Source organism: Homo sapiens, chromosome 12, assembly GCF_000001405.40.
Source record: "Homo sapiens chromosome 12, GRCh38.p14 Primary Assembly".
In the NCBI taxonomy this organism is placed as follows: domain Eukaryota; kingdom Metazoa; phylum Chordata; class Mammalia; order Primates; family Hominidae; genus Homo; species Homo sapiens.
In genome coordinates this window covers 111,337,771-111,358,996 of record NC_000012.12, presented here as the reverse complement: position 1 = coordinate 111,358,996, position 21,226 = coordinate 111,337,771, and the positions used below count along the sequence as shown (strand labels likewise).

General features: G+C 49.5%; 1 protein-coding gene and 1 pseudogene across 7 annotated transcripts in view, besides 3 other annotated features; both read right to left on the bottom strand.

Moving 5' to 3' along the window:
• Positions 4,886 to 5,086: a silencer, noted in NCBI's record as "peak1952 fragment used in MPRA reporter construct". NCBI's record gives its function as "represses an SCP1 promoter by STARR-seq MPRAs in K562 erythroleukemia cells {active_cell/tissue: K562}" and the evidence as "EXISTENCE:reporter gene assay evidence [ECO:0000049][PMID:32103011]".
• Positions 4,886 to 5,515: a biological region, named in NCBI's record as "H3K4me1 hESC enhancer GRCh37_chr12:111791286-111791786".
• Positions 5,015 to 5,515: an enhancer, noted in NCBI's record as "H3K4me1 hESC enhancer chr12:111791286-111791786 (GRCh37/hg19 assembly coordinates)". NCBI's record gives its function as "activates a minimal SCP1, AML or CMV promoter by ChIP-STARR-seq in primed H9 embryonic stem cells {active_cell/tissue: H9 hESC(primed)}" and the evidence as "EXISTENCE:reporter gene assay evidence [ECO:0000049][PMID:30033119]".
• The window catches only part of CUX2 (cut like homeobox 2), a 316,390-nt gene continuing 303,606 nt past the window's right edge, over positions 8,443 to 21,226 (bottom strand). For all 7 annotated transcript variants that reach the window (XM_017019081.2, NM_015267.4, XM_011538069.3 and 4 more), the window contains 3 exons: positions 20,523 to 20,711; positions 16,944 to 17,217; positions 8,443 to 11,473 (listed from right to left, as the gene is read on the bottom strand). In XM_017019081.2, coding sequence (XP_016874570.1) covers positions 10,672 to 11,473; positions 16,944 to 17,217; positions 20,523 to 20,711 — 1,265 coding nt within the window. In that variant the 3' untranslated portion in view covers positions 8,443 to 10,671. The remainder of the gene's footprint in view (positions 11,474 to 16,943; positions 17,218 to 20,522; positions 20,712 to 21,226) is intronic.
• RNA5SP373 (RNA, 5S ribosomal pseudogene 373) lies at positions 19,376 to 19,470 on the bottom strand (annotated as a pseudogene).

Here is a 21,226-nt window from a genome sequence, read left to right as displayed (position 1 = left end):
AGACTCTGTCTCAGGAAAAAAAAAAAAAAAAATCTCTTCATTGTTCTCTGTGGGGAGGGAGAAGGGGAGTAATGTCTGTGATGCCTGGAACTGTGGCAGCCATCTTGCAATCATGAAGCTGACCACTCTAAAGAAAGTGCTCCATACTGAGTTTGGCGCACACTCCAGGGTGGTTCTGGGTAACCAACTGCAGGGCTGTTGTTGGCTCAGTGGGGTGCAGGTTGGGGCTAGAATGGGATTGCCTGTTACAGTAAAGGGGCCACTGCTTCTTATCCCTTCCTAAAGAGTAAACAAATATTGAAGGAAGATCATGTCCCCCTATGGCCCTGCATCTTGGATGTTCCTAAGTGAGGCTGCTTTGTCCCCACTATGTGCTGTGTGGCTAGATCTGGTGCTAACTGTCTGCTCCCCCTAACACCTCCACGGATGACCTCACCTCACTCACCTTGCACAAACTTTGTTATGAAAAAGTTCCTGTGGCCAGGTGCAGTGGCTCATGCCTGTAATTTCAGCACTTTGGGAGGCTGAGGGGGCAGATCATCTGAGGTCGGGAGTTAGAGACCAGCCTGACCAACATGGAGAAACCCCGCCTCTACTAAAAATACAAAATTAGCCGGGCATGGTGGTGCATGCCTGTAGTCCCAGCTACTCAGGAGGCTGAGGCAGGAGAATTGCTTGAAACTGGGAGGCGGAGGTTATCCAGCCTGGGCAACAAGAGCAAAACTCTGTCTCAAAAAAAAAAAAAAAAAGAAAAAGTTCCTGCTACCTGTCCCAACTTCTAAAATCTCAGCATTCAACATGAAACTCTTCGAAGATGGTAAAATAATAAGTTGTCTAAGCCTAGCTGTAGGTTTTGCACTTTTCTGATGAAGACTTTTTTAAAAGGTGGGCAAAATATTTGCAAGTCATTTGCAATCTGATAGGCAGACTATAGACAGAACTCCTAAAACTCAACAACAACAAAAAAAACCTGATTTAAAATTGGGCAAAAGGCCGGGCGAGGTTGTTCATGCCTGTAACCCCAGCACTTTGGGAGGCTGAGGCGGGCAGATCACCTGAGGCCAGGGGTTTGAGACCAGCCAGGCCAACATGGTAAAACCCTGTCTCCACTAAAAATACAAAAATTAGCCAGGTGTGGTGGCGGGTCCCTGTAGTCCCAGCTACTCGGGAGGCTGAGGCAGAAGAATCGTTGGAACCCAGGAGGTGGAAGTTGCAGTGAGCCAAGATGGCACCACTGCACTCCAGCCTGGGTGACAGAGCAAGATTCCGTCTCAAAAAACAAAACAAAACAAAACAAATAGTCCAGGTGCAGTGGCTCACGCCTGTAATCCCAGCACTTTGGGATGCCAAGATGGGAGGATCACCTGGGGTCAGGAGTTTGAGACCAGCCTGGCCAACATGGTGAAACCCTGTCTCTACTAAAAATACAAAATTAGCTGGGCGTGGTGGCAGGCAGCTGTAATCCCAGCTACTCAGAAGACTGAGGCATAAGAATTGCTTGAACCCAGGATGGGGCGGTTGCAGTGAGCCGAGATGGTGCCATTGCACTCCAGCCTGGGGGTAGAACGAGACTCTGTCTCCAAAAAAAACCACAAAAGACTTGAGTAGATATTTCTCCAAAGAAAATATATAAATGGCCAATAAGTACATGAAAAGATGCTCACCATGAGTAATCAGCAGCAAAATACAAGTCAAATTAGGATGGCTGCAGTCAACACAGAAAATAACAAGTGTTGGCCAGAATGTGGAGAAATTGCACAACCCTTGTGCACTGTTGGTGGGAATGTAAAATGAGGCAGCCACTGTGGAAAAAAGTGTGGTGGTTCCTCAATAGTTACAGATAGAATTACCATGTGATGCAGCAATTCACTGCTTGGTATATATCCGAAAGAACTGAAAGCAGAGTTTTTTGTTTTTTGTTTTTTTGAGATGGAGTTTCTCTCTGTCACCTGGGCTGGAGTGCAGTGGCATGATCACGGCTCACTGCAACCTCTGCCTCCTGGGTTCAAGCAATTCTCCTGCCTCAGCCTCCCAAGTAGCTGGGATTACAGGCATGCACCACTATGCCCGGCTAATTTTTATATTTTTAGTAGAGATGGGGTTTCACCATGTTGGCCAGGCTGGTCTCGAACTCCTGACCTCAGGTGGTCCACCTGCCTTGGCCTCCCAAAGTGCTGGGATTACAGGCGTGAGCCACCACACCCGGCAAAAGCAGGGTCTTGAAGAGACATTTGCATACCCATGTTCATAGCAGCATTACTCATGTGTCCATCCCAAGTGTCCATCAGTGGATGAGTGGATAAAGAAACTGTGGTCTATCCAGGCAATGGAATATTTTTCAGCCTTAAGGGAAGGAAATTCTGACACATGCTACAACATGGATGAACCCTGAAGATATTAGGCTAAATGAAATAAGCCAGCCATCAAACAAATACTATATAATTCCACTTGTAGGAGGTATTATTTTGATGCAAAAGTAATTGCAGTTTTGCAATTAATGACAAAAGCCACAATTGATTTTGCACCGACCTAATACTAAAAGTAGCCAAATTCAGAGACAAAAAGTAGAAAAGTGGGTGGCAGGGGCTCAGGGGAGGCAAAATGGGGAGTTAGTGATGAATGAGGACAGAGTTTAGTTTTGCAAGATGAAAAGAGTTCTGGAGATGGAGGGTGATGATGGCTTCATTGTTATAAATGTTCTTGACACCATTGAACTGTACACTCAAAAATGCTTAAGATGGCAAAGTTATGGCCGGGCGTGGTGGCTCATGCCTGTAATCCCAGCACTTTGGGAGGCCGAGGTGGGCAGATTGCTTGAGCCCAGGAGCTTGAGACCAGCCCGGGCAACATGGCAAAACCCCGTCTCTACAAAAAACACAAAGATTAGCCAGGCATAGTGGTGTATGCTTGTAGTCCCAGCTACTCAGGAGGCTGAGGTGGGAGGATTGCTTGAGCCTGGGAGGTGGAGGTTGCAGTGAGCTGAGATCACAACACTGTACCCCAGCCTGGGTGACAGAGTGACCCGTCTCAAAAAACAAAACGAAACAAAACAAAACAAAACAAACTTTATGTGTATTATGTATATTTTACCACAATAATAATAACAAAAATAAAGGCGGGCCCATAGATTTGTTTTTTCCAAGAGGATTTCCTGCTCCTGACACAGGGGCCAGCTGCCTTTGCGGTTCCCCTGTGCCTGGAGCTGAGAGCAGCCGAGGGCCGGGGCCATGGTTGCTACCCTCTCTTCATGGTCCAGGGGCACAGCTGTCATTGCTTCTCTAGTTGTGATGCTGAGAAATCCCAGGGCAGGGCACCCAGGCCCTCTAGGCTGCAGCTCCTTAAGAAAGGGGCCTCCCCTCTGTCCCTCCCTGGGGCCTGGCACAGAGAAGCCAATCTTTGCTTCCATCCCTCTCTCAGCTCCCCTGAGTCTTCCCTCCTTGCCTACAGCTGATCGGATGAGAGTTGGTCAGACACAAGCTGAGCCAATCAGGGTCCTGGGAACTAAGTTTGGTATCCGTAGTGCTAAACTTAAGAGCTGATGGTTGAGCGACCCTTCTGGGACATGATGGCAGGGAGAGAAACAGCCAGGCCTTAGAGAGAACTAAGATCAAAATAGCCTGTGCGACACCTATTGAAGCCTGGCTAAACTTCCTGTTTTTGGGTTTTCGAAGATCTCCCCTGGATCCTCCCAATAAATATTTGCATAGTTAAGTGGGTTATAATTTCTTTCAATCCAACAGTTCTAGACTGTAAGACACCCAGTGAGTATCTGTTCTGTGCTCCTATTCTGTCATTCTCTTGTTTGCCAGTGTCCATCCTAGGGGCTGGCACACCCAGGGGGCTGAAGAAAACCAACTGGATGACAAGTCTCTCTGAGACCTATGACAGTCAGTGGGGCTTAACCCTTAGTTTGTGTCCAAATCACCTGGAGTGCTTCTTAAAAATGCAGATTCCTGGGCCCTGGCTCAGTAGGTTTGGGCAGGGCCCAGGAAACTGCATTTTGAGTAGGGTGCAAGGGATTCTAGGGCCACAGCTGAAGAAATGATAAGGTAGTGTGGTGGCAGCCTCTAAGATGGGCCCCAGGTGACCCTGCTTCCTGGTATTCACATCCTGGTATGGTTCTTTCCCACACTGAGTTATGGTGGGCGCATGTGGCCAATAGATTGCACTGGATGCAACAATGGGGCTTCCAAATCGAGGTCACAGAAGACACTACATCCTCCGCTGTGACTACTCCGGGGAAAGTCAGCCACCATGTTGTGAGGATGCTCAAGCAGCCCTGTGAAGAGTCCTACCTGGAGAACTAAAGCCCACAGCCAGCACCAACTTGTGGGCCATAGAAGTGTGCCATCTTGGAAGCAGACCCTTTAGTCTCAGAACAGCCTTCAGATGACTGCAGCCCTGGGTGATGGCTCAACTGTAACCTCCTGAAAGACCTACCAGCCAGAATCATCCAGTTATACAATCCCCAAATTCCCGACTCATGGAGATTATGACAGATAAATGCTTATTGTTTTAAGCCACTCAATCTTGGCATAGTTTTTTATGCAGTAATAGACAACTAGTAAAAGTGATGCTATGATGATCAAATCCATTTTCCAGTTAAGGAAACTAAGCTTCATGGAAGGGCTCTAGAATTACCTGATAGTGGAGATTCAAACCCAGGCCAGGCTAAGTTCAAAGCCTGTACTTTCACAGCTATACCCTAGGAGGCTGGAGAAGGTCACAGATCAGCAAAGAGCTTAACTGTTTCTCCCTCTCATTGTGTGCAGGCAGGGAAACAGACCTGGAGGGAGGAGTCACCATTGTTAAGGTCACCTGGCTGGCCTATCTGGGTGACGTTCCCTGCCCCAGGCCCCCTGCTCTTGGGATTGGGAGTGCATTCAGCGTCCCAGGTACCTGCAAAGGCAGCCTGGTTTCCATAGCGGCACAACTTGAAGCCTTGGCTGTGGGGAGGTAGGGCTTCAGAATGACCAACCACATCAAGGGCCAGTCAGCTAGGGAGGGCTTGGTTTTGTGCATTTTCTAGGAGGTGATGGGATGTGGGGCTGCCTGCTCAGTGGGAGGAGCTAAACTAGGAGGGAGGAGTGCACGGAGGCCTGAGGCTCAGGGCCTGCCCTCAGGGCTCTGGTGTGCCTTCTACCCAGGCAGATGGGACCTCCTAACCTCCTCAAAGTGCTAGACTGACCACAGCAACCCCCTGCCTCACACCTTCCATGGCTCCCCAGTACCCTCAGGAGAAAGGCATATTCCCTGCCATGCCCCAAGGTGCTTCACAATTTGGCTCCATCCCTCTTCCTCCCCACTGCCCTACCTCAACTTCCAGCCTCCTTTGGGCTTCTTCCTCCCGGGTTCTTATCCCAGTTCCACCTCCTGCCTATGGTTCCTTCTGCACTCCTCCTCTACTTCTCCTTTCTAACTCTTGTCATCTTTCAGGCATCAGTTGGGATGCCCCGTCCTCCAGGAAGCCTTCCTGGACCCCACTACTTGTACCTTCATGGCCTCCTGTGTTTCCTCCACCCAACTCTGAGCACACAATATGTACTCAATAAATGCTTATAGCATTGAGCAGACAGTAGGTACTCAATAAATACTTAGCAGCTGATGAACAGTTGCCCAATGGCCCCCAGCTGGGCTCTCCACTCTCCTCTGTGCCCCGATCCAAACCCGCCTCCTCCTGGGGGCTGTCCTGGCCTTCTCGTTGCTCTCCAGCCCCTCCACTTTCCCGCAGCCCCCCAGTGCAGAATTCCACATTTTGCTGCGCTGTTGCTGCCTGTTTCACTCCAGGGCAGTGGTGGCAGACACCCTGTCAACACCAAAGCTGATGACCCAGAACATGCTTCAGTCCCTGAAGCCCACAGGCACCTGCTCCCTCGGGTTCTCAGGTGGCTTGCGTGGTGCCAGACTCCACTCCTGCCAGCCTGGTCCCACAGGGGGCCACACCCTGGGGGTTTCTGACCTCCAACCTTCTCAAGAGCTGTGAATGAACTGAGGGTCTGAAAGGGTATTCTTTGGTTTTGTTTAATTTGAATCTTTACAACCACCTTGTGAGCAAGATGCCATTCCTACCGCCTCCACTTTATGGCTGGGAAACTGAGGCACTGTGTAGTTTAAGCATTTGCCCAAGGCCACACAGCTCTAAGAGGCGGAGCCAGAGTTGAAACCAGGCCATTTGGCTCTTGACTCCCATCTTCCTCCCCAGCTCTGAGGACAGGCCATCCATTCGCCTGAAATGTCACATGCAATGGGCTGACTCAGGAGCTCCAGGGCTGATGGGGGCCTGGGCCCTGACCTGCCACCTCCCACTCCCACCACTCCATGATGGGGTGCCCAGGCATCCCAGTGGGCTGTCCTGCTGGGCTTGGAGCAATTAGTTATCCTAACCGAGACGGGGGTAATTGTTTAACGCTCCCTGCAAGGATATACGGAAAAACTGGGGCAATTGGAAGATTTCCAGACAAAGGGAAAAGGGCTGTCTTGGGACAGCCACATGGCTGGGCTCATGGGTGAGTAATGTTTAGTGCCACTTCAGGGACTCTCCTGACATCATAGGTCACAAAAAAACCCCTCCTGCAGCCTGATGCACAGAGACTCACTATCATAGGCTGGAAGAACCTACCCCCTACTTACAATAACAATAACTAATAGTTACCGAGTTTTTTCTTTTTTTCCTTTGAGATGGAGTCTTGCTCTGTCGCCCAGGCTAGAGTGCAGTGGCACGATCTTGGCTCACTGTAACCTCCACCTCCTGGGTTCAAGCGATTCTCCTGTCTCAGCCTCCTGAGTAGCTGGGATTATAGGTGCACACCACCACGCCCAGCTAATTTTTGTATTTTTAGTAGACATGGGGTTTCACCATGTTGGTCAGGCTGGTCTCGAACTCCTGACCTCATGATCCACCTGCCTTGGCCTCCCAAAGTGCTGGGATTACAGATGTGAGCCACTGCGCCTGGCATTTTTTTTTTTAATAGTCTCACTTGGCCGGGCGTGGTGGCTCACACCTGTAATCCCAGCACTTTGGGAGGCCGAGGCGGGTGGATCACGAGGTCAGGAGATCGAGACCATCCTGGCTAACATGGTGAAACCCCATCTCTACTAAACAAAATACAAAAAATTAGCCGGCGGTGGTGGCGGGCGCCTGTAGTCCCAGCTACTCGGGAGGCTGAGGCAGGAGAATGGCGTGAACCCGGGAGGCGGAGCTTGCAGTGAGCTGAGATCTCGCCACTGCACTCCAGCCTAGGCGACAAAGCGAGACTCCGTCTCAAAAAAAAAAAAAAAAAAAAAAAAGTCTCACTCTGCCCACCCAGGCTGGAATGCAGTGGCGCAATGGCTCACTACAGCCTCTGCCTCACTACAGCCTCTGCCTCATGGGTTTAAGCAATTCTCGTGCCTCAGCCTCCTGAGTAGCTGGGACTACAGGTGCCCACCACCATGCTTGGCTAATTTTTGTATTTAGTTATCGAGTTCTTACTGCCGTGCAGTTTTACGCATATGCATATGCATGTATATTATTCACAATGACCTTCTGAGTTGGCTGCTGTGATACCCCCATTTTGCAGATGAGGAAACTGAGGCCCCAGTTATACAACTAGGAAAGGTGTGATGCTATGTTGGTCAACAGGAAGCCCCTCTTGGCATTTTCCCATCGGGCCTGGGGGCACTAACCACTCACACACTGTACAGAGGTGGGCACAGCTTGCAAGCTGGTTCACTTGCTGGTTTAGGGGTAGAGTGCAGTTTTGACTCCTCATACCAGGCCCTGGAGTCTGAGCAGCTTCTACTCTGCTGCAGGCTGGTCCACAAGGCACACTTGCCAACCCAGATGCCCACAAGGCCCAGGCAGGTTGCACAGTTGAGGGCTGAAGCAAATCATGGGCATGTGCCCCATCTAAAGGCAGCCAGCCCTCATCTGGCTGTTGTCACATTGGAACGTGGGCCCAGTGTGGCCAAGATCTTGACTATTTCCTGGAGAAGCTCATAATCATGCTTTTTAATGGGACATGCCCATTAAATGTTGGCCATTTTTTTTTTTTTTTTAGAGAGGAGGGTCTTACCGTGTTGCTCAGGATGGTCTCAAACTCCTGGCCTCAAGTGATCCTCCCACCTTGGCCTCCTAAAGTTCTGGGATTACAGGCCTGAGCCACCATGCCCAGCCAATGTTGGCAATTTAGAAACCAGGCTTAAATTTTTTTTTTTAGAGACAGGGTCTCTCTCTGTCTATGCTGGAATGCACTGGCAATCATAGCTCACTGCAGCCTCAAATTCCTGGGCTCAGGCAATCCTCCCACCTTGGCCTCCCAAAGCACTGGGATTATAGGTGTGAGCCATTGTGCCTTAAAAACTAGTTTTAAAAAATACCATTTTGTAAAACATCTCTGAGGGCCAGATCTGACCTCCAGTTTGTACTCCTAGCCCCAGAACAAAGAAGCAAGACACCCAGAATTATTATACAATTCTGTATTTAGCGACTCGTTTACAGAACGTGTTCCTTTTTTTAAAATTTTAAACAAAGTTCATCAATCTCTCATAGAAACGGTTTGTGTATGTGTGTGTGTGTTTTTTAACCGTTATAGGACGTGAACCTGACAAAGTTGTTCACGGGTCCGCTAGCTTTAAGTACAACAGGATTTCCGTGTTCAAAAGACTATACTAAGTGCTTAATCAAATCCCGTCACACTAAAGCCAAATTTAGTTCTCTAGGAATCGGAGTCTGCGTATAAGCCTGGATTTCAACGTTGTGTTGGTTTCAACAGTAAAAAGTGGTGTGTTCCCCCACGGTTGTCTTAATTGCAACAGGGTGGTGGTGGCTAAAAGATGTTTCATTTGTTCCAGATTTGATTACTCTGAAAATGGTCACTGTTTCCTATTGTCAAAATATAAAAATACCTTCATCTGGATAAAAATGTATACAGTGGAAAACTCTTCAATGCATAGCCTGGGTGTATGGAAAAGGTTTTCCTTCAGGGTTTGTGTTTTGTTGACTGTTTGGTGTGGAGACTGCAGCCTGGGCTGGGTGTGAGAGTTGGGATTTCTGGAACGGTCCTTATCTGTCCCCTTCTGGTTGCCGGGTTTTGCCCATATGGTTTCAAAATGCTAGCTACATCTTTGAAACCTCCATCGGCCATCTCACCCGCTGGCATTACATTGGCATTGATTATATTCACCTTCTCATCTTCATTCTGGGGAGTCACTCAATTCAGCCTTCCCATGGACAGTTTGAAAAAGGAAACGTAATAAAAACAAGGGAGAGAGATTCAGTAACCAATATGGTGGCCGTTCTATCCAAATTGGGAACTCTCACCCTAGAAACCATGCCAAAGACGCTGGAGGAAGGGTTCCTCTGAGTTGGGGGTTAAGTCTCTGCTCCCCAACAGGTCATGCGTTGGAAGGTAGGAGGATAGATTTGGAGGCTGGGATATGGTGAACATGCTGCGATGAACTTGGCCTTCCAGAGTTCTGCATGGACTTGGAGTTGCAGATGCCTTCCAGAAACAGCACCACGGTCAACTTGAGAAAGAAGATGGCGAGAAGGGGAGCTGGGGTCTCTAGTTTGATGAATCTACTTTTTGGCGCTGGTTACTAAGCTTCAGTGGTCATGGGATGACCAACACTGTCACTTTCGGAAAACACCAAGAGGGGAAGATGGTGGCCACAGTCTTGCTCTGGAATACCCACACTCCTACAAGTGGGGAAACTTCCTGGGTTGTGCCTATGGTTCACACGGGAAATGGGGTCGCTCTGGCTCAAACGCCACTCTCCAAGCACCTGCCCCATGCCCACCTTTCCAAAGGATCTGGAAACACTTCTTGCCTATAGATGGACAAGATGGATGTCTGACCTCCATGGCCCACAGGTTTCTAACTAGTGAGACCTGTGTAAGCAGTTTGTTCTGTACCATGCTACATCTCATATAGGACGGTTGGGCCACGGCCCACATCTCTACAACATTTACAATGGCACGGACATTCTGTTATCAAGCTTGCAAAACAGACCACCAGAATGAAACACATCCTCAACGGCGTCGAGGTTTTTGTTTAGAGTCTTTTGGACTTTCTCTTTTTAGCACAGTTTCTGGAAGGGCAGTAGCATTGCGCTGTGTCTCACAGACAGATGTGGAAAAAAATCGTGGTTCAAAGGTTATCTAAATTTTGGTCAGTCTTATAGTGTTTTGTGATGGCTTTGAATAATTGTCTTCTTTTAATCTCATCTAGTGGCAAAAACGACACAACTTCAGTGTATACTTCGCAACAGTTGTGACAGCATCCTGATTTTATAACTCTCTGTAATATCAAAACAGCATCAGCTGGGATAAATTCCAAAGGATCCTTTATTAAAATATCTAAAAGAGGTCTATAAATATTTATTTATTTTTCTAAAAGAGTTTGGAGTTTTCAGGTGAATATGTGGTGCCATTTTGCTTCTGCCTCCTGCAGAGGGGTCAGGGTGAAGAGGAGCAGGGGGGTGCAGAAAAGTGGAGGCAATGGCATTTGACCCACCTGCTCACACAGCTTCATAGAACTAGGATTACAACAAAAAACGTAAACGGCATAACATTGCTGTCCACATTTTGATGGTTGAGTTCCTCCCTCCCTTACCCCATCCTGTTGAGGAGAGTAAGTGCGAGAAGGAAGGTAGTTACCAGGGTATGTCCCTTGCCCCCTCACCCTGCCTTCAGAACTCCCACTCCAGGGCCTCCTCCCGATTGGCAGCCCGCTCTACTCGGTAAATGATGTTGTTCAGATTGGCCATCTTCTCATGCCGCCGCTGCAAGTTGGGGTTCACCTTGGCACTGGGGTGCAAGGCTCCAGCCATGTCAGCAGTGGGGCTGGCACTCGGCACTTTGGCAGGGGGGGCGCCAGGTGGGGATGGGGAGATGGGAGCTGAGGAGGAGGGGACAGGTGACACAGACATCATGAGGCCTGGTGAGGAGGCGGCCGAGGGCGAGTTCAGTGACACCTCCAGGCTGCAGCGTGAGGACTCTGAGGCTGACTTAAAACTTAAAGGGTCCGGGTGAAGTCGCTCCCCGGCCTCACTCTCCTGTTGGGGATGAAGTGAGGGACAGTCTGGGGTGGATCCACCTGGAAGGAGGGGCCCGGGAGCCACTTTTGGGAGTCCATCATTACCCGGAGGGTCGGGATGCTCCTCTTTGGGGGGACCTTGGCCTTTGTCCAGCTCCCCTGAGTCCTGGGGCTGGCTGCCTGCCTCTTCCTCAGCATCCTCCTCCATCTGTTCCTGCTTGATCCTCACTTGGGCCTTGTCCTGGGTGGTCAGGGGTGTGCTGTTCTCCTCAGGGCCCTCCTGAAGCTCCAGTTCCTTCACGGTTGGCTTCTGGTCCTCAGTCTCAGAGTCAGGGCTCTGCGGGGTGGGGTCTGGGTGGGAGTGGCCTGGCGGTAGGATTCCAGGACCCCCGCTTGGATCAAGGTCTGGCTCATCCTGGGTCCCCTCCACCAACATCTCCCGGCGCATCCGGGACCTGGGGCAGAGACGGCGGTGAGCCTGGGGCTGGACAGGGGACTCCCAAACCCTGGACTCCATCTGCATACATGGCATTTTGGTCCCACCCACTGCCCTGGGGCTCTCTAGGCACTAAGCCTCCATACTTGCACCATCTTATTAAGTCTTCTCAACAACGCCACAAGGTGGGCGCTATTATTATCTCCACTTCACAGGAAACAAGGCTCAGAGATGTTAAGTGACTTGTTCCAGGTCACACAGCTAGTAAGTGGCAGAACCGAGACTTGAACACACGACTACTGAATCCCAAAGCTCATGATCTAGACCTGTGCTGGCCAACACAGCAGTTACTGGCCATACATGGCTCTTGAGTGCTTGACATGAGGCTAGTCCACATTGACATGTGCTGTAAGGGTACAATACACACCGGTTCTTAGGCTTAATACAAAACAAAGTGAAAGATCTCATTAATAATGTTTATATTGGGCTAAATCAAATAAATGATTATGATTAATTTTATCTCTTTTTTTTGAGACAGAGTCTCACTCTGTCACCCAGGCTGCAGTGCAGTGGTGCGATCTCAGCTCACTGCAACCTCTGCCTCCTGGGTTCAAGCAATTCTCCTGCCTCAGCCTCCTGAATAGCTGGGATTATAGGCATGTGCCACAATGCCTGGCTAATTTTTGTATTTTTAGTAGAGACAGTGTTTTGCTATGTTGGCCAGGCTGACTTGAACTCCAGACCTCAGGTGATCCACCCACCTTGGCCTCCCCAAGTGCTGGGATCACAGGCTTGAGCCACTGGGCCTGGACCCAATTATTTTCTTACAGCAAATGAAGTCAAGAAATTTTCAGTAACTTGTCCAAGGTCATAGAACAACAGGGGTTTCTGTTTCCTCAGCACCTTCAATGCTGTGGCTCCCTGGCCATTTATGTTAACAATAAAGTACACTAATATAGACTATTAGCAACTATATAGTTACAAACATAATAATAATGGGCGCTTATCATGTGTTGGGCACTAGGCTAAGCACTTTTTGCGGTTTTCTTTTCTTTTTTTTTTTTTTTGAGATGGAGTCTCGCTCTGTTGCCCAGGCTGGAGTGCAGTGGCGCAATCGCGGCTCACTGCAACCTCTGCCTCCCGGGTTCAACCTATTCTACTGCCTCAGCTTCCCGAGCAACTGGGATTACTGGTGGGCGCCATCATGCCAGGCTAATTTTTGTATTTTTAGTAGAGGCAGGGTTTCACCATGTTGGTCAGGCTGGTTTTGAACTCCTGACCTCAAGCAATCCACCAGCCTCGGCCTCCCAAAGTGTTGGGATTACAGGTGTGAGCCACCGCACCCAGCCTGTTTATTTCATTTTCTGTTAGGTTGGTGCAAAAGTAATTGCATTTTCTGCCTTTTTTTTCTTTTTCGTGTAACTTTTTTTTTTTTTGAGATGGAGTCTCACTTTGTTGCCAGGCTGGAGTGCAGTGGGGGCACGATCTCGGCTCACTGCAACCTCTGCCTCCCGGGTTCAAGTGATTCTCCTGACTCAGCCTCCTGAGTAGCTGGGACTACAGGTGCATGTCACCATGCTAATTTTTGCATTTTTAGTAGAGACGGGGTTTCACCATGTTGGTCAGGCTGGTTTTGAACTCCTGACCTCAAGCAATCCACCAGCCTCGGCCTCCCAAAGTGTTGGGATTACAGGTGTGAGCCACCGCACCCAGCCTGTTTATTTCATTTTCTGTTAGGTTGGTGCAAAAGTAATTGCATTTTCTGCCTTTTTTTTTCTTTTTCGTGAAACTTTTTTTTTTTTTTTTTGAGACGGAGTCTCGCTCTGTCACCCACGCTGGAGTGCAGTGGCGCGATCTTGGCTCACCGCAAGCTCCCGGGTTTACGCCATTCTCCTGCCTCAGCCTCCCGAGTAGCTGGGACTACAGGCGCCCGCCACCACGCCTGGCTAATTTTTTGTTTTTTAGTAGAGAAGGCATTTTACCATGTTAGCCAGGATGGTCTCGATCTCCTGACCTCGTGACCCACCCGCCTTGGCCTCCCAAAGTGCTGGGATTACAGGTGTGAGCCACTGTGCCCGGCCTTTTTTTTTTTTTTTTTGAGATGGAGTCTCACTTTGTTGCCAGGCTGGAGTGCAGTGGGGGCACGATCTCGGCTCACTGCAACCTCCGCCTCCTGGGTTCAAGTGATTCTCCTGACTCAGCCTCGGGAGTAGCTGGGACTACAGGTGCACGTCACCATGCTAATTTTTGTATTTTTAGTAGAGACAGGGTTTCACCACGTTGGCCAGGATGGTCTCGATCTCTTGACTTCGTGATCTGCCTGCCTTGGCCTCCCAAAGTGCTGGGATTACAGGCGTGAGTCACTGCGCCCGGCCTTTTGTGACTTTTTATTTTAATGGCAAAACCATTTTTTTAAAAAATGGCAAATCCTTTAAAATGGATCAAAAAACATTTTTTAAAAAATGGCAAAAACCAGCTGGGCGTGGTGGCTCATGCCTGTAATACCAGCACTTTGGGAGGCCAAGGCAGGTGGATCACTTGAGGTCAGGAGTTCTAGACTACCCTGGCCAACATGGCAAAACCCCATCTCTACTAAACAAAAAAAGAAACAAAAGTGGCAAAAACTGCAATTACTTTTGCACCAACCTAATATAATAATCTCATTATGATACACTAGTCTGATTTGCACTGATAAAGGAGACCAGGCTGAGAGGGCACAGGAACTGGCATGGTCTCAAGGCTCTGAACCTAGCAGTCTGGCTTATATTTTCTTGCCCCTGCCTCCCTGCTCAGGTCCTGTGGGGCCCCATCCCAGGATCCTGGGCCTGGAGGAACTGTGAGGGGTCACCTAGTCCGTACCCTCCCCTCCAATCCCTCCAAAAAGGTGACCTTGCCCACCTTCCAGAGCTCTCCCCCACCTCCCTCAGCTCCCTCCAGTGGGAAGAGCTTCGATGGGGAGGGACTTTGTCTTGTTTTCTGTGGCGTCTGGTACAGAGTAGATGCTCAGTAAACATTTACCAAATGAAATAATGTGTTCTTCTGTAATTATAACCCTTTGATAGTTCTTTTGAGAGTGGAATTCTCTCTTCTCCTTTGTGCAAACTCCTATTCATCCCTCAAAACCCATCTCAAATACCACTTCTGTAAAGTCCTCCCCAGGCAGAATTCCCTTTTCCCTTGGCCCCTTGTTCCTTCCTGTTTCACAGCATTTATTAGATTATAGTGAAATGTTCTGTTTTATGACTGTAAGATCCTTAAGGGCGGGGATTGGTTCACTATGCATACATTAGAAATGTTTGTTGAATGAATATGTTGGATAATAACGGAGTGCTCAGTTCCTGTGGGGAATCAGAGAGGAGAAGATGTCCCCATATCCCCCAGGGAGGGAAGGAAATGAGCAGGCTTTAAGGACCTATGTCATTTGTTATTTGGCAGGCTCTGCTCTGAGCCAGATGATAAACCATATTTTATTTTATTTATTTATCTGTTTGAGACAGAGTCTCACTCTGTCACCCAGGCTGGAGTGCAGTGGTGTGATCTCGGCTCAAAGCAACCTCCACCTCCTGGGTTCAAGTGATTCTCGTGTCTCAGCCTCCTGAGTAGCTGGAATTACAAGCCCCTGCCTGGCTAACTTTTGTATTTTTAGTAGAGATGGGGTTTCATCATTTTGGCCAGGCTGGTCTTGAGCTCCTGACCTCAGGTGATCCGCCTGCCTTGGCCTCCCAAAGTGCTGCGATTACAGGTGTGAGCCACTGCGCCCGGTCAAAACCATATTTTATAATGTGTTTATACCCAGAGTTATTTCATTTGATCTACAATCAAGCATTGTGGGATAGGTATTAGGTTCCTCATCTGTAAAATAAGGGTGAGACGTGGAGAAGTAAAATGACTTGTGGGGGGATTGGGGACTGAGAGAGGGTATGGACTCAGGTCTATAGGACCCTGGTGCCCAGGAGAGAGGAGATGCTGAGTTGCTCCTCCCACCAATCTCCTCTTTCCTTGATTCCTTGGGGATCAAGAGACATTCTCTCCCCCTGGAATGGATGAGTGGATTTTCTTCTCTGGTACCATGTGGGCACCAGAGACTTTTCCTGCTCAGGAAGCTTGGCAGGGGTGTGGTGGGGGATGTTCCTCAGAGATGGTCCTTGAAATCCCCCCAAGTGTTCTTTACAGGGGTCTCCTCAGAGCCAGCCCTGGGACTAAAACTCCTAGGAAGCTCAACCTACTTCAGGCCAGTGACTTGTGAGACCAGGGAGTCAAGAGTGGGAAGAGCTATGGAAAGAAGCAGCCATTGAAGTAGGAATCACCCACTCTCTGAGGTGGTGGAGCCTGAAGAGGATACCAGGGGGTTTTTCTTTCGGTTTCAGGGGTAGGAGGGGCCAGGAGCCCCAAATCAGGGATCCACCCTGAGGCTCAATGAATAGTCAGGGTTCCTCAGGCCTGTACCCCCAAATACCCTTCCCTGTCCCTTCTTTGAGGCAGACGCAAGGCAAACAGGGTGAAATAATAATAAAAATAATGACAATAATCATATCAATACCCACCACATACTATGTGCTGGATTTTTTTTTTTTTTTTTTTTTTTTGAGATAGTCTCACTCTGTTGCCCAGGCTGGAGTACAGTGGCACAATCTCGGCTCACTGCAACCTCTGCCTCCTGGGTTCAAATGAGTCTCCCGCCTCAGCCTCCCAAGTAGTTGACACTATAGGCATGCACCACCACGTCCAGCTAATTTTTGTATGTTTCAAAGAAATGGGGTTTCATTATGTTTCCCAGGCTGATCTTGAACTCCTGACCTCAGGTGATCTGCCCACCTCGGCCTCCCAAAGTGTTGGGATTACAGGTGTGAGCCACCGCGCCTGGCCTACACGCTAGGTATTTTATGTAACTATGTTAGTCTATCAAATCCTCTGTGCAACTCTATGAAGTAGATCCTGCTACTGTCCACCCCATTTTACAGGTTAGAAGACTGAGGCTCAGGGAAGTGAAGAAGGCTCCACAGCTGAAAGTGATGGAGCTGGGATTTCTTCCACATTTGCCTGTGTTTTAAATTTTTTTTTTTTTTGAGATGGAGTCTCTGTCGCCCCGGCTGGAGTGCAGTGGTATGATTTTGGCTCACTGCAGCCTCCGCCTCCTGGGCTTAAGTGACCCTCTCACTTCGGCCTCCCAAGTAGCTGGGACTACAGGTGTATGCCACCGCACACAACTAATTTTTGTAGTTTTTTTTGTAGAGACGAGGTCTCCCTATGTTGCCAGGGCTGGTCTCAAACTCCTGGGCTCAAGTGATCCTCCCACCTTGGCCTCCCAAAGTGCTGGGATTACAGGCATGAACCACTGCACTTGGGCCTGTGTTCTATATCTAAGTGCCTATGTGATGGGGTCTTCCATCTCCCAGAGGCCATGTGGGGCTCCCTCCAGGCCCTGGGATGGGGAAGGGGTCCCACCTGGATTCTGCCACCCGCCTGTGGGTACGCCCCCATAGTCCCACCTGTAGTTGTGGAACCAGTTGATGACGGTGTTGGTCTTGAGGTTGAGCTGGAAGGAGAGGAGCTCGATGGTCTGCTGCGAGGGGTAGGGTTCCAGCTGATAGGCCTTCCGCAGTGCCTCCTTCTCCTCGGGTGCCAGCACCACCCGGGGCTTCTTGATCTGCAGGAGGCTCAGGTCCTGGGGCTGCAGGCAGGGGCTGGGGCACTCTGAGCGGGTGGCCGGGGACTCACTGTCTGAGCCGGTGCTGATGAGGCCATAGCGACGTTTCAGGTAGGCTGGGGCCAGGAAGAGAGGGAGGGCTGAGAGGTGGTGTCCCCATCCCAAAAGTTCCTGGCCAGCAGGAGTTCCATGGTGGGAGTGCATCTGTCAGGCCCACTCGGAGGCCATCATGCCCTAAGCTTAGAGGCCCGCCCCCCAGCCTTTCTCCCTCCTCACTCTCCTTCTGCATCTCCCAACCCCCAATCCCCCGCCACAAGATGCTAGCCTAACCTCGCCCGCCCGGGAGCCCTGGCATGAGCGAAGACTCAGGAGCATTCCTCACGCATAGGAAGCACTTGAAACAGGGTGCTCTACAGTATTCTCTCTGTTTTTGTAGAGACAAGGTCTCACGCTGTCACCCAGCCTGGAGTACAGCGGTGCAGTCATGGCTCACTGTAGCTTCAACCAACTAGGCTCAGGCAATCCTCCTGCCTCAGCCTCCCAAGTAGCTGGGATTACAGGTGTGAACCACCACCCCTGGCTAATTTTTAATTTTTTTTGTAGAGATGGGGTCTCTCTCTGTCACCCAGGTTGGAATGCAGTGGCACAATCACAAGTCATTGCAACCTTGAACTCCTGGGCTCAAGCAATCCTCCTGCCTCAGCCTCCTGAGTAGGTGGGACTACAGGTGCACGCCACCATGCCTGGTTCATCGTTTTGTAGAGTGTTTGAAATGCTTGTTCCCTGGTGCCGTAAAGAAATAGCACTTGAATATAAATTTAATTTACTCAGTGAGGCCATTTTTATACTTTCTGTAGAAAGGGTACGCTCGCCAGCAGTTTTGCCACGAGAGTACACCGAACAAAGGAGACAGGGTCATTTATAACCTGATGCTTCCACCCTACTGCTGTGTCCGGTTTCCACTGGCTGGAACAGGACTTCGCATGCTGTGTTTGTCCTGACTGGCTAGCAACTTAGAACTTTTTAAAAGAGGTAAAGGCAGAGGAGAACAAAGGAAGGAGGAAGTAACTTGTGGAAAAAGTTGAGAAAGGTAAAAACCCCCTTAAATAAGGAAGAGGAACAGGCTATGACCTAATGCTTGCTTGGACCACTATAAGCATGCCAGGGCAAATATTTAGGCTAAATCGTGGGAGCTAAGAACGTAAAGTACATTGATGTCTTTATCACGGCTAGCAGATATTTAAGAATGTTAGCACAGGTCTTTGAATAAATTTTGCTTCTAAGAGAAGTTACTATTTTCCTAATTAAATGGGGAGGAAAGTCTTTGAAGGGGAAACTTTATTTTTTACATAAGAATTAGAATCTCACTCTGTTGCCCAGGCTGGTCTCAAACTCTTGGCCTCAAGCAATCCTCCCACCTTGGCCTTCCAAAGTGCTGAGATTACAGGTATGAGCCGCCACATCTAGCCTACAATATCCTCTAGATTGTCAGAAGCATCCCTGAATTTCTGAACAGCCTTCAGTGGGCAATAGGTAGGGACAGTAACTTAAATGACTTACTGACTGCATGGTGCATCTTGACCCCAGATCATGAAGATGTTGGGGAGAAAAAAGCCCACTTCAGAATGAAAGAAGGTATGAGGGTCTTACTTAATCCTCACAGCAATGCTTTGTGGCTCTGAAAATGCATTTTTTTTTAGATGGAGTCTCGCTCTGTCGCCCAGGTTGGAGTGCAGTGGCACGATCCTCTTGGCTCACTGCAACCTCCACCTCCCAGGTTCAAGCGGTTCTCCTGCCTCAGCCTCCCAGGTAGCTAGGATTACAGGCATGCATCACCATGCCCAGCTAATTTTTGTATTTTTAATACAGATGGGGTTTCACCATGTTGGCCAGGCTGCTCTTGAACTTCTGGCCTCAAGTGATCCATCCACCTTGGCCTCCCAAAGTGCTAGGATTACAGGTGTGAGCCACCACATTGAGCCAGCTCTCTTGTTTTCAGAAATAGAGAGCAGCCAGCTCTCTTATTTTCAGTAACTAGCTTGAGGTTGTCACACGGCAAGGAGGTAGAAGGTCAAGTTCTCAACCACAGCATTGTCTGATGATGATGGCCCAGCCCTAGGTGCTCTCCACAGTCTGGCGTGTCCCTGGGTCATCACACGACCTGCCCTCACGACCTGGATGGCAACTTCAACTGCTCCTATCTTATCTTCCAATGGACTTTGAACCTTTGGAAATATAGAGGAATCCTTGATGCATAGCATGAGACTGGGTGCCCAGCTCAATGCCAGCTTATCTTCCATCCAAATACTAACCAGGCCTGACTCGGCTTAGCTTCTGAGATCAGCATTCCGGGTGGTATGGCTGTAGACAATGCCAGCTTATCTTATCAGGATATAATGTCAGACAATGTGAGAACTTGCAATCTCCTTGCCCAGCCCTACAAGAGACGGTTCCTGGTCCTGTCCTTTGTTATGTAGAATCTGGGTAATGGGCCAAGGGCTGATCTACAAAACAGGGGGCTGAGGCAGAGGAGGGAGGGAGGTACACAGAGTTTTGGGAAATAGACAGTTGGGGCTGGCAACAGACTTTGGTGTAGCTTCAGAGGTGTGAAAGGACAACAAGAGATGGGGTGTTAGGTTTCCTTTTGTTTCTTTCTTTTTTTTTTTGAGACAGAGTCGTTCTGTCGCCCAGGGTGGAGTGCAGTGGCGTGATCTCAGCTCACCGCAACCTCCACCTCCTAGGTTCAAGTGATTCTCCTGCCTCAGCCTCCCAAGTAGCTGCGATTACAGGTGTGCACCACCATGCCCAGCTAATTTTTTATTTTTAGTAGAGACAGGGTTTTGCCATATTGGCCAAATTGGTCTTGAACTCCCGACCTCAGGTGATCTGCCCGCCTCAGCCTCCCAAAGTGCTGAGATTACAGGCGTGAGCCACTGCACCTGGCAGAGTATTGGCTTTTCATGGGAGAGGTAGTAAATATTTACCAACTTTTTTAAAAATTGGAGATGGGGTCTTACTGCACTGCACAGGCTGGAGTGCAGTGGCTATTCACAGCTTTGATCATAGCACATTGCAGCCTTGAACGATCCTCCTGCCTTAGCCTCCCAAGTGATCCTCAAGCAATCCTCCTGCCTTAGCCTCCCAAGTGATCTGCAAGCCTTAGCCTCCCAAGTGATCCTCCTGTCTTAGCCTCCCAAGCAGCCAGGACTACCCATGCCCTGCCACTGCGACAGGCTGTAAATATCTTCACTGCTTTCAATCACATTGTTACATTGTTTTTCAAGGTTGCTATTTCATGCAGTCCCATAGTAGGCTGAGACTGGACCATGGGAGCCCTGGGTTTATGTGGGTTACAGCTAGATATGGTTCTGGGGAAAATCTGAGACCCAGTGCTGGGGCCCATCCTCTGCCCAAGTCTTACCTTTCTTCTCCAGCTTCTTCATATCCCTCAGCTTCTCCACGTTATGGGGGTCATTGAGCCACAGCTGCATGCGGACAAAAGGCTCCCGCCCCTTCAGGCTCAGCTTGTGCCAGGGTTTGGGCCGGGACAGCAGGTCAGACACGGAGCCCTGTGTCAGACCCAGGATGCTTTCCCCAAACAGCCGCTGCCCTGGGGATAGGGGAGGGGAGCAATCTGTTACCCGAGGCTGGGCAGAGAAGCCTACTCCCAGGAGAGACATGGAATAGGCCAGAGACACAGGGGAGAGCCTCGAGGCTATCTCCACTGACTCCGAAGGGAGGGCCAGAGACGGCGGAGGACCCACACCTGATGTGAAGCCGAGGGGGGTCTGTCTGTAAAAGAGATTTGGGGGCAGGACGAGGCAGCAACCAACAAAAGAGCTTTTTTTTTTTTTCTTTTTTTGAGACAGAGTTTCACTCTATTGCCCAGGCTGAGCGTAGTGGCATGATCTTGGCTCCCTGCAGCCTCTGCCTCCCAGGTTCAAGCAATTCTCCTGCCTCAGCCTCCCGAGTAGCTGGGATTACAGGCACGTACTACCACACCCAGCTAATTTTTGTATTTTTAGTAGAGATGGGGTTTCCCATGTTGGCCAGGCTGGTTTCAAACTCCTGACCTCAGGTGATCCATCTGCCTTGGCCTCCCAAAGTGCTGCAATTACAGGCGTG